The sequence below is a fragment of the Homo sapiens genome, chromosome 19 (genome assembly GCF_000001405.40).
Source record: "Homo sapiens chromosome 19, GRCh38.p14 Primary Assembly".
In the NCBI taxonomy this organism is placed as follows: Eukaryota; Metazoa; Chordata; class Mammalia; order Primates; family Hominidae; genus Homo; species Homo sapiens.
Window position 1 is genome coordinate 50151795 of NC_000019.10, and position 11915 is coordinate 50163709.

Here is an 11915-nt window from a genome sequence, read left to right on the forward strand (position 1 = left end):
AACCCGTCTCTACTAAAAGTACAAAAAATTAGCTGGGCGCGGTGGTGGGCACCTGTAGTCCCAGCTACTCGGGAGGCTGAGGCAGGAGAATGGCGTGAACCTGGGAGGCGGAGCTTGCAGTGAGACCAGATAGCGTCACTGCAAGTCCGGCCTGGGCAAAAGAGCAAGACTCCGTCTCAAAAAAAAAAAAAAAAAAAAAAAAAATTAGCTGGGCATGGTGGCGCACACCTGTAATCCCAGCTACTTAGGAGGCTGAGGCAGGAGAATCGCTTGAAACCGGGAGGCAGCAGTGAGCTGAGATCATGGCACTGCACTCCAACCTGGGTGGCAGAGCAGGACTCTGTCTCAAAAAAAAAAAAAAAAAAGAAAAGAAAAAGAAAGAAAATGTATTCGAATCTAGTATTCAGGTGCACAGAGGGTGAAGAATTGTAGTTCAGATAGAGAAGAAAACCTGTACCTTCCACATTGACCACTGCTCTTCCTCTATTTAACCATCCTCGAGGGTTGCACTGAGTCATGTCCTTTCGGATGCATTTCCTTCCCAGAGGATAAGTGGTTGTCACTTCAAACCCTTACAATATGCTGTCCATCCTTTTTGAAGGTCCAAGTCACTTCTACCTTGAATTAGGATAATGGGTGTCTACAGATGAGTGGGATCTGGTCCCAGCCTTTGAGGAGCACCCAGTCAGGTAGAGAAACAGAGTTGGACACCAACTAGGGGGAGGGTCCCCAGGAAATGGACAGAGACATTGATGGATTTGTCACCAATTTTATTAAATTTATTTTCCTTTCTCCTTACCCCCAAACCACCGTCCTACTGCAGCAGGAGTTTTCGGTTTTGTCTGTATGTACAAGCCCTGGTCAGAGAGAAAAAGCCTGTAGATTAGAATGAGAATTTCAAGCTTTTCCAGATCAAGAGACCCATAACTTCCCTCCCCATAACTTTCCTACAATCTTTGGCCTGATTTGGCTCATCCAGTGACGTCATGGGCATCTGGGCAGATTTTCAGGGTTCTCTGCCAACCGGAGTTGGTGAGGAGAGAGGAGAGAAGAGCTGGGACCAGGGGTGATGGTCAAATGTGGGAACAGAAAGAGTCCAAAAAGACAAGAGGAGACACAGGCAGAAATGGAGAGAGATAAGGTAGAGACAGGGTATAGTGGAAGCAGGTATAGTGGGTTACAGCGTGTCCCCCACCCCAAAGATATATCCAAGTCCCAACTCCTAGGACCTGGGAATGTGACCTTAATTGGAAACACGGTCTTTGCAGATGTAATTAAGTTAAGGTGACATGAGATTTAGGATGGGCCCTACATCTAAAGACAGGTGTCCTTAGAAGAGAAAGGAGAGGGAGATTTGAGATGGACACACAGAAAACAAAACCATGTGAAGACAGAGGAAGGGATTAGAAGGGAGCTAAGGAATGCCAGCAGCCACCAGCAGCTAGGACACAGGCATGGGGTGGATTCACTCTCAGAGGCTCTGGAAGGAACCAACTTTGCCAACCTCTTGATTTCAGACTTCTGCTTTCAGAACCCAGAGAATACATTTCTTTTGCTTTAAGTCACCCAATTTGTGGTGATGTTACAGCAGCAATAGGAAATGAATACACAGGGAGACAGAGAAATGAGGAGAGAGAGTTGGAAGAGAGGCTGAGCAAGTTCACAGTGAGAGGTAGCCTGCACGGAGCACTCCCCATGCGCTAAGTGTTATTAACAGCGTTCACTGGCCAGGCGCGGTGACTCATGACTGTAATCCCAGCACTTTGGGAGGATGAGGCAGGTGGATCACCTGAAGTCAGGAGTTTGAGACCAGCCTGGCCAACATGGCGAAACCCCGTCTCTAATGAAAATATAACAATTAGCCAGGCTTGGTGGTGGGCACCTGTAGTCCCAGCTACTCAGGAGGCTGAGGCAGAAGAATCGCTTGAACCTGAGAGGCAGCGGTTGCAGTGAGCCAAGGTCGCAAGATCGCGCCATTGCACTCCAGCTTGGGCCACAGAGCGAGACTCCATCTCAAGAAAAAAAAAAAAAAGAGCGTTCACTGATTCAGTTATCACCACCCCCGCCAGTGGGAGGTGATGGCATTACTCCCTTTTTGCATATGAAGAAACTGAGGCGTTAGGGAAAGGAGATTAATTGGGTACTTGGAGGAGGCAGAGAGAGAGAGAGAGAAATTGAGACGGAGAGGGGAAGAGAGGGGCCGGAGAAGGGGCTGGGGGGGAGGGGGAGGGCACAAGCATAAAGAGGCAGCGAGATAAGCTTAGAGGGGGAGAGGAAGGTGAGGGCCACTTCCTCCCTAGGCACAGGGCCTGGGGTCCATGGAAATGTTTTCACTGTAGTATCTTTAAAAGCCAGAAGAAGATAAATGAATATAACAACAGTAATTATGATGATGCATAGAACATAATGAAGCCAACTTGGATGATATTTGTCTTTCTACCAATGCATCCACCAAATATAACTTTTAGCGTTTTTTTTTTTTTTTTTTTTTTTTTTTTTTTTTAATGTAAGAAGAGGCCCACAAAGGCAAAAGTGCTGAGGACCCGGGAAAGTTGTAATGTGGCCCAGAGGTGGAGAAAAAGGAAAATGAGGAAGAAAGACAGAAATAAGATGAGAGAAAGGTACGGGGCAGGGGGCGGGAGGGAGAAGAGGGAGGAGAGAGACAGAGAGAAAAAGAGAGACAGAGACTAAAGTGACTGAAGAGGAGACTCCCAAAGTACACAGTGACCCATCCAGGGGAGTCGCCATTTTTGAGGGGCCCAGTGGGTTCCACGGGGGACTGAGGAGGGGGCAAGGATGACTCACGAGACCACGATGACCACGAAGACAAAGACAGCCAGAGACACAGAAATGAGGATGCCCAACAGCGCCTGGTTCCTCGGGTATTTGCTGTCCATCTGGTACTGCAGGGCCACGCGGGGTTGCCGGTCGACTGGGGCGGGTGGGGAAACAGCCCCGACCTCCACGTCACCACCCCTCCTTAGCCCCATACCCACCCCACCTGTTCATTCAGCAGCCTGGGGCAGGGGTGGGGGTGGGGCGCTCTCTCTTCTTCTCTTCCTGCTTGTTCCCTGCCCTCTCCTGGGGTCTGAGTCTCCATTTATCCATTCCTCTAGTGCTCTGTCTCAGGCGCCATTGTAGGCATTTGGGATATAGCCGGGAACCAAACTGGCAAACTGGACTCATGGAGTTGACAGTCCACCCCGCATATCACAGTTATCACAGTTACAGTGAGGAGCTAGTTCTAAAAGCATTTCATTTGATGGGATGGGGTGGGGTGAGGAGGACTTGGGAAGTTTGACTCAAAACCAAAAGATACGATACAATGGTCAGGCATGGTGAGCTTGCGCCTATAATCCCAGTACTTTGGGAAGCTGAGGCAGGGGGATCACTTCAGCCCAGGAGTTCAAGTCAGCATGGGCTGTGAGATCCTATCTCTACAAAAAAGAAAAAATTAGCTAGGTATGGTGGCACGAGCCTGTAGTCCTAGCAACTCAGGAGGCTGAGGTGGGAGGATTGCTTGAGCACAGGAGGTTGAGGCTGCCGTGAGCCGTGACTGTGCCACTGCACCCCAGCCTGGGGGACGGAGCAAGACCCTGTCTCAGAAAACAAAACAAAACAAAAACCAGAGACACCATGCACATGAGAGGGAGGTGCAAAATGCGAACAGTTTCACAAGATGAAAGTCTTAGTTGCTGCATCTTAGCTATTGGCCCTGAAGGTGGCCTTGGGAGTTGCTTTCTGCGTCTTCCACTTGCCTCCCACCACCAACTCTTTCCTTCCATCAGCAAAGCCTCTTGGCTTGACCTTCAAACTGTAGGCAGAATCCAATCCACTTCCATGGCTACCAAGCAGGTCCAACCCCAGCCCACTGCTTCTCTTAGGAGGCTCCCTTGACCCCTCCTCCCACAGTTCCTCACATGGCCTCCGGGAGGCGCTGTTAAAACCTAAGTCGGCTCCCTCTGCTCAGTGTCTTCCTGCTACTCCATGGCCCCCCATCTCAGAATAAAAGCTCAAGTTCTCACCATGCTCTTGCAAGCCCTGCACCATCTGGTTCCCACGTGACCCGGCCATTGTTCTAGCCACCCTACTATTCTCTTTCATTCACTCGGCTCTGGCCACACTGGCCTTCTCCTCCTTGTTGCTTAATCATGTTGGATCTTTGCATGTGCTGTTCCCTCTGTCATTGACACTGTTCCCATCACTCACTTACTTCCTTCAGCTTTCAAAAGTCACCTCTTTAGAGGTGCCCTACATCCGTATTTTCTAAAGTAGCAGCCTCCCCCAGGCACTATCTACCAAACCATTCTATTTTCATTAGAACACCATTGCCATCTGGATCAAGCCTGTTTATTTGTTCATGCAATTACCATCTAACCCAGTGGTTCTCAATCTGGGATAATTTTGTCACTCAAGGGACATTTGGAAATGTCTGGGGACATTTCTGATTGTCATAATGGGGAGGGAGATGCTACTGGCATCTGGTGGATCGAAGCTAGGGATGTTGCTAAACATCCTACAATGACCAGGACAGCCTCCCTAACAAAGAATGATCCAGCTCCAAATCTCAACAGTGCTGAGGTTGAGAAACCCTAGTCTAACCTCTGGCCCCATTAAAATGTGGGCTCCATGAGGGCAGGAACTACATCTGTCTCCCATTCCACTGTTCCTCAGTTTGGGACATCGTAGGGTGCTCAAAATATTTGTTGTCACCAAATACCAGCCAAAGGAAGCAAACAGGCAAATCCAAAAGTGGGACACTCTATAGGACACACTCCCTTCTTTTTCAATGCCAATGTCATGGAGGGAAAAAAAAAAACCCAAAAACTGATAAGAGAAACTGTTCTAGGCCGGGTGCAGTGACTCATGCCTGTAATCCCAGCACTTTGGGAGGCTGAGGTGGGCGAATCATTTGAGCCCAGGAGTTCGAGACCAGCCTGGCCAACATGGCAAGAATCAGTCTAAAAAAACAAAACAAAACAAAACAAAACAAAAACTGTTCTAGATTTTAAAAAGAAGAGAAAAACCTAACAATTGAATGATATAAGAAGTCCTTTCATTGAACACTGGTTTGAACAAATCAACTGTGAAAAATATTCTGGGGACAATTAAGGAAGTTGACAGTGGGACCTGGAATTATTTGACATTGAGGAATCATTGCTAGGTTTGGAGGGTGTGGGAACGACATTGTGGCTACTTAGGAAAATGTCATTATTTTTAGAGGTACATGCTATGTATGGGGCATGGTGTCTGTGGTTTCTTTTAAGATACTATGGCAAAGAATAAAGTAGGTGAAATAAATATGGAAGAATGTTAATTGTTAACATAATTTGATAGTAAGTGCTACTTTTGAGATTATGATCAGAGAGGCCTGTCTGAGGAAGTGACCTTTGAGACCCAAATGAAGTGAAGGAGTGATTGGAACAGTGTGACAGAGAGAGGGAACAGCATGTGAAAAGATCCAGCATGACTATTCAACCCGGATAGATAGATGTGGATTCATTATACTTTTTTTTTTTTTTTTTTGAGATGGAGTCTCGCATTGTCACCCAAGCTGGAGTGCAATGGTGCGATCTTGGCTCACTGCAGCCTCCACCTCCTATATTCAAGCGATTCTCCTGCCCCAGCCTCCTGAGTAGCTGGGATTACAGGTGCCTGCCACCACGCTAGGGTAGTTTTTTGTATTTTTAGTAGAGACGGGGTTTCACTATGTTGGCCAGGCTGGTCTCAAACTCCTGACCTTGTGATCTGCCTGCCTCGGACTCCCAAAGTGCTGGGATTACAGGCGTGAGCCACTGCATGTTCGGTCTCGTTGTACTATTCTTTCTGCTATGAGAATACGTTTTTTAGGCTGGGCATGGTGGCTCACGCCTGTAATCCCAGCACTTTGGGAGCCGAGTGGATCACCTGAGGTCAAGAGTTTGAGACCAGCCTGGCCAACATGGTCAAACCCCATCTCTACTAAAAATACAAAACTTATCAGGGTATGGTGGTGCACACTTGTAGTCCCAGCTACTTGGGAGGCTGAGGCAGGAGAATCACTTGAACCTGGGAGGCAGAGGTTGCAGTGAGCCAAGATCCTGCCATTGTACTCCAGCCTGGGCGAGAATCCATATAAAAAAAAAAAAAAAAGAATGTATGTTTTTTAGATTTATGAATGAATGAATGAGTGAATTCAGCACATCCTTCCAAATTCCCCAGGTATAGCAATGGCTAAGAATAAAATCTTTTTCTAGCACCTGCCATTCTGGAGCTAGGGGCATTCTAAAGTTCCAGGGAGTCTTTCCATTTAACAGATGGAGGAAAGTGAATTTCAGAATACAGGAGCAACTTCTGGGCCACACTCTAAGCAAATGGTTAGGGCAGGATTCGAGGCTGCATGTGGGAGCCTCGAAACCCATATCTAGTGGGTCATGGCTGTCTTCATCTCTTGCACGCCTGTCCCATGTCTTCCCCCACCCCCAGAAGCTTACCAAAGCAGTACTTTTTGTGGATACACTTGGGAGTGATCCTCTGGCAATGTAAACAGTCCAACACCTCTTCTTTTAGCAAGCCTAGGCAAGGGGAAAGGGAGAAGTAAGACAAGGGCAGATATCAGAGGACCGGCAAGGGTGGAAAGGAAGAAGGAGAAAGAGGAGATGGGGTCCCTTGGCTTCTCCTAAATTTCATAGGTCCCACTGCCCAGCAGAGGAACTAAGCAAAATGCACTGACAATTCACATAAAAAATAATTGTTATATAATCATTGAAGAACTAAATTCATCCAGTAGATTCAGCATTCTGCTTGTGGACATTTAATTAAACATTTGTTAATTCTGAGTTTGCACTTTTCTTTTTCTAATTTGGAGCCTCTTTTGCAGACACTGGTGAGATGTCTCCTCTTTGGGCACACTGCCTCCTCCTCTACTGGTGCATACAGGAGGGCTACATTTCCCAGGGTGCCTTTCAGTAAACTGTGACCATGTGACCTAGTCCTGGCCAATGGAAAGTGAGCAGGATCATGTGTGTCCCTTCCAGGCTTGGCTATACAACTCAGTGTGATTGCTATTGCTTTTCCTTTTGAAGCATGCTTAGAAGCTGCCATGTGTGTATAGCCTGGATCCCTGAGTCACCACCTGGACTGCCACTCAACTGTCAATGAAATTTGGGTGAAAGAAAAATAAACCTTTGTTGTGTTAAACCACCAAGATGTGAGGGTTTATTTGTTAATACAACATAGCCTATTTTATTGTGACTTACGTACCTTCAAAATGTTGTTTTGCAGATAGTCATTATTTTCATAAACCTTTAAAAAGCAAATCTCCCTAGGTACCATGGCTTTGGGGTAAGGGAACTGCCAAATGGAGTAAGGAGTGGTAGCCAGGCTTGATTTGGGGAGACAGGGTGAAGGGGGTTAGGAGGGTAGAGAAGGGAGAGATAGACGATCCAGAACTCACGGCAAAGTTTGGGGTTGCAGGCTGCAAGAGAAAATTGCTGAGGTGAGTTAAATTGGGATGGCAACTTGATAATTTAATTGGAAAGGGATCAGGAGAGCAGGTAAGGGGTGAGGCTGGGAAAGGAGAGAAGGGAAGATTGGGGAGAGATGAAGAAGGCTGAGCTATAGGGGAGGTGAAGAAGGAGTTTGGGAGAAAAAGTGGTAAAAGGGGATCAAGAGGTCAAGGGAGAAGAGGAGAGGGGATTGGTGGAGAGATATGCTGCACCTTTTAATTCATATGAAATTAAAACTTTCTTGAATTCCTTGATCACATTCGCCCTGAGGGTCACCAGCTCTTCCAGCAGAGGCTCATCTGAGGAGAGAAAGAGATCTCTGTGGGGTGGGAGGCACCCAGAAAGCCCACCCCACTACCTGAAGCTTCCAGGAGAAGAGATGAGGAAGCTCCTCTTCATTTATAAAGGGTAACCAAGACCAGGATTACTAAGGGTCCCCCAGGCAAATCTATGGCCAGGGAGATCCTGCATCTATATTCTGATTCACCGTGGGGCCTAGGCAAAGCCACCCTTCCTTGGCCTCACTTTCCTCATCTGGCAAGTGGATTTGATCTCTCTTCTCCTCTTCTTTTTTTTTTCTTTTTGAGACGGAGTCTCACTCTGTTGCCCAGGCTGGAGTGCAGTGGTGTGATCTCGGCTCACTGCAACCTCGGCCTCCCAAGTTCAAGCGATTCTCCTGCCTCAGCCTCCCAAATAGCTGGGATTACGGGCACGTGCCATCACACCTGGCTAATTTTTTGTATTTTTAGTAGAGACAGGGTTTCGCCATGTTGGCCAGGCTGGTTTCAAACTCCTGACCTCAGGTGATCCTCCCACCTCGGCCTCCCAAAGTGCTGGGATTACAGACGTGAGCCACCGCACCCGACCTCTTCTTTTTTGTGTCTACACTCACTCCTTCATGATTTCAATCCATATGGCTTTATATATTACCTAGACGTGCACTGTCCAGTGTGGTAGCCACTAGCCACACATGGCTACTGAACACTTGAAATAGGCTAGTCTGAATTGAGATGTGCTGTAGGTATAAAATGTACACTGGATTTTAAAGACATTGTGCAAAAAACCTGTAAAATATATTGATAATTCCTATGTGGATTGCATGCTGAAATGGTGATATTTTATATATTGGGTTAACTAAAATATATTATTAAAATTAATTTCACCTGTTTCTATTTACCTTTTTAAAAATGTGACTACTAGAATTTTTTTTTTTTTTTTCAAACGGAGTTTTGCTCTTGTCGCCCAGGCTGGAGTGCAATGGCGTGATCTTTGCTCACTGCAACCTCTGCCTCCTAGGTTCAAGTGATTCTCCTGCCTCAGCCTGAGTAGCTGGGATTACAGGTGCCCGCCACCACACCTGGCTAATTTTTGTATTTTTAGTAGAGACGGGGTTTTACCATGTTGGCCAGGCTAGTCTTGAATTCCTGACCTCAGGCGATCCACCTGTCTCGGCATCCCAAAGTGCTGGGATTACAGGCATGAGCCACCGTGCCCGGCTGCTACTAGAAAATTTAAAATTGCATATGTGACTCCTATTTGTGGCTGACATTCTATTTCTATTGGATGGTGCTGTTCTATACACAGATGCCCCCCACGTTTATATTACTAGCCCAGAGGGCTCACTGAAGGTGGGATTTATATACCCAACTATCTGGTCAAGATATCCAATTGGATGTCTAAGAGGCATCTCAAACCCACTAAGTCCAAAACTGAACCCTCGTTATTCTCCTCCAGACCTACTCCCAACCTCCCAGTCTACTCCATCTTAGTAAATAGATGTGTCATGATTCTAATTGCTCAATTCAAAATCCTTGGTGCTTTGACGCCTTTTTCTTTTCCTTTTTCTTTTTTTTTTTTTTTGAGACGTAGTTTTGCTCTTGTTGCCCAGGCTGGAGTGCAATGGCGCAATCTCAGCTCACCGCAACCTCCGCCTCCTGGGTTCAAGCAATTCTCCTGCCTCAGCCTCCTGAGTAGCTGGGATTACAGGAGTGCCACCATAGCTGGCTAATTTTGTATTTTTAGTAGAGACAGGGTTTCTCCATGTTGGTCAGGCTGGTCTTGAACTCCCAACCTCAGGTGACCCACCGTCCTCAGCCTCCCAAAGTGCTGGGATTACAGGCGTGAGCCACTGTGCCCGGCTGACGCCTTTCTTTTTTTTATATCCCTGTGCAATTCGTCAGCATGACTGGCAACAAATCCTGTTTGTTCAATATTCAAAATACCCATTCCCTCCCCTTAACTCTAAGATCTCATCTTCCATAGAGACAATGTCGCCGTCTCACTCCACTCTGGCCTTCTTGGATGTTCTGTGACTATGCCAAACATAGTCCCATCTCAGGGATTCCACCAGCTGTTCTTTCTGCCTGCACCCTTCTACCCCTAGACCCCCTCATGGCTGCTTCCCTCTCCCCTTCAGGTCTTTTCTCACATGCTCCTTTTTAAGGGACATCTTTTTTGGATGCCCTACTTTAAGCTGCAATCCCCACCCCTACTCACAGCACTTGCTATTCCGTGGTCCCTGCTTTATTTTTTTCCTCCTTAGCATCTCCCTCCATTTGACATATTTTATCGGGCAATAAAGGATTAACTGAGCAGGCCTGGGTTGTCCCAATCCTGCACATCCCCCGCTCCCCCCCAAAAAAATTTGGCTCTTGCCTGGCTCACAGAAGGTAACCTCTATTTCCTTGGAATATCCTGCCTGTTAAGAGTATCTTGGTTTGGCCAGGCATGGTGGCTTACGCCTATAATCCCAGCACTTTGGGAGGCCTAGGCGGGCAGATCACTTGAGGTCAGAAGTTTGAGAACAGCCTGGCCAACATGGTGAAACCTCGTCTCTACTAAAAATACAAAAATTAGCCGGGCATGGTGGTGGGTGCCTGTAATCCCAGCTACTCGGGAGGCTGAGGCAGGAAAATCGCTTGAACCCGGCAGGCGGAAGCTCCAGTGAGCAGAGATTGTGGCACTGCACTCGAGCCTGGGTGACAGGGCGAGACCGTCTCAAAAAATAAAAATAAATAAATAAATAAAAGAGTATCTTGGTTTATGACCAGGTGCAGTGGCTCACACCTGTAATCCCAGCACTTTGGGAGGCTGAGACACAAGGATTTATTGAGGCCAGAAGTTTGAGACCAGCCTGGGCAATATAATGAGACCCAGTCTCTACAAAAAATTAAAAAGTAGAAAATTAGCCAGGTGTGGTGGCACATGCCTGTGGTCCCAGCTACTTGGGAGGCTGAGGCGGCAGGATCGCTGGAGCCCTGGAGGTCGAGGCTGCAGTGAGCTGTGATGGCGCTACTGCACTCCAGCCGGAGCGACAGTGAGGCTCTGTCTCTTAAAAAAGAAAAAAAAAAGGCTACATTGCATGCGTGTTTGCTCTTATTTTTATATTCAAGGGAGGTGGGGCAGACCGGCGGAAAGAAGAGGGGTGCTGGAGAAGGCGTTCCCTCGTCTCTCCTACCTTTCAGAGAGTTACCCATTAAGTGCTGCGTTTGGTTCTTGACAAAGGACGCCACAAGGTCCAGTTGATTTGTCTCTGGGGGGAGAAGGGAGAGGACACTCCAGTGAGCCCCCCAGAGAGCCAAGTGACCTCACCCCCTCCAGGCCTGGCCCCGACCCCTCTTGGGGGCGTGGTCTCCGGCATCCCTCGCCCAGCCCCGCTGCCCAATTTCTCCCAACACGCACCCACTTTCCCCACAAACACGTTCAGCGCGTAGTCCCGGAAGAAAGGCCCCTCCATGCCCATCAGCACGGCCCCGGCGCGCGCCTGCAGCTGCTCCAACTGGAAGCGACTGGGGATGAGGGCGGAGCGCAGGTGACCCAGGGCCTCCAGCACCAAGGGGTCGCACTGCAGGCAGCCCCAGCCTCCGGGGGCGCCCAAGCCCGAGAGCAGCAGAAGGGTCAAAGCCAGAGGCATGGCGGGGCCTTTGTGACGTCACAGAGAGAACCCGGCCCGCCCCGCCTCCCAGGCGAGGGCGCGGTCAGGAGGCCCAGGGAGCATCACGGTGTTACAGGCACGTGTTCGCTGAGCACCTGCTATGTGCCAGGCATGGTTCTAGAACCTAGAGAGAAAGTCAAGAAAAACAGAAAGCCTCTGCTCAACCCCTCTTGGAACTTACTAATTCCTCTTAAATTTATTCATTCAACACATATTGTTTTATTTTATTTATTTATTTATTTTTTCCCGAGATGGAGTCTCAACTCTGTCACCCAGGCTGGCGTGCAGTGGTGTGATCTCGGTTAACTGCAACCTCCGCCTCCCGGGTTCAAGTGATTCTCCTGCCTCAGCCTCCCAAGTAGCTGGGACTACAGGCGTGCGCCACCACGTCCGGCTAATTTTTTATTTTTAGTAGAGACGGGGTTTCATCATGTTGGCCAGGCTGGTCTCAAACTCCTGACCTCAGGTGATCTGCCCGCCTCGGCCTCCCAAAG

General features: G+C 48.2%; 1 protein-coding gene across 5 annotated transcripts; it reads right to left on the bottom strand.

The window, feature by feature from the left end:
- Positions 1–753: 753 nt before the first annotated feature.
- On the bottom strand, positions 754–11487 carry IZUMO2 (IZUMO family member 2). Of its 5 annotated transcripts, NM_001321449.1 has the most exons (8): positions 11169–11487; positions 10945–11019; positions 7700–7786; positions 7436–7456; positions 6474–6554; positions 2806–2932; positions 1883–2012; positions 754–857 (listed from the first exon to the last, which is right to left on the bottom strand). In NM_001321449.1, exons 1-7 carry the CDS (start codon positions 11398–11400, stop codon positions 1895–1897), a joined length of 741 nt encoding a protein of 246 aa, NP_001308378.1. In that variant the 5' UTR covers positions 11401–11487; the 3' UTR covers positions 754–857; positions 1883–1894. The 5 variants fall into 5 exon arrangements, 4 of the variants coding, with proteins under 4 accessions (NP_001308378.1, XP_011524738.1, NP_689571.2 ...); XM_011526436.3 differs by lacking the exon at positions 1883–2012 and having other exon boundaries at positions 2806–2903; NM_152358.3 differs by lacking the exon at positions 1883–2012.
- Positions 11488–11915: the final 428 nt, after the last annotated feature.

Excerpts from the sequence above, each read along its gene's own strand:
- IZUMO2 (NM_001321449.1), bottom strand. The coding sequence starts at position 11,400 with ATGCCTCTGGCTTTGACCCTTCTGCTGCTCTCGGGCTTGGGCGCCCCC. Across the intron at positions 7,787-10,944 it reads AATGGGTAACTCTCTGAAAG|ATGAGCCTCTGCTGGAAGAG; the intron begins GTAGGAGAGACG and ends TTCTCTCCTCAG. Across the intron at positions 2,013-2,805 it reads TTCGTGGTCATCGTGGTCTC|ATGGAGTCTCGCTCTGTGGC; the intron begins GTGAGTCATCCT and ends TTTTTTCTTGAG.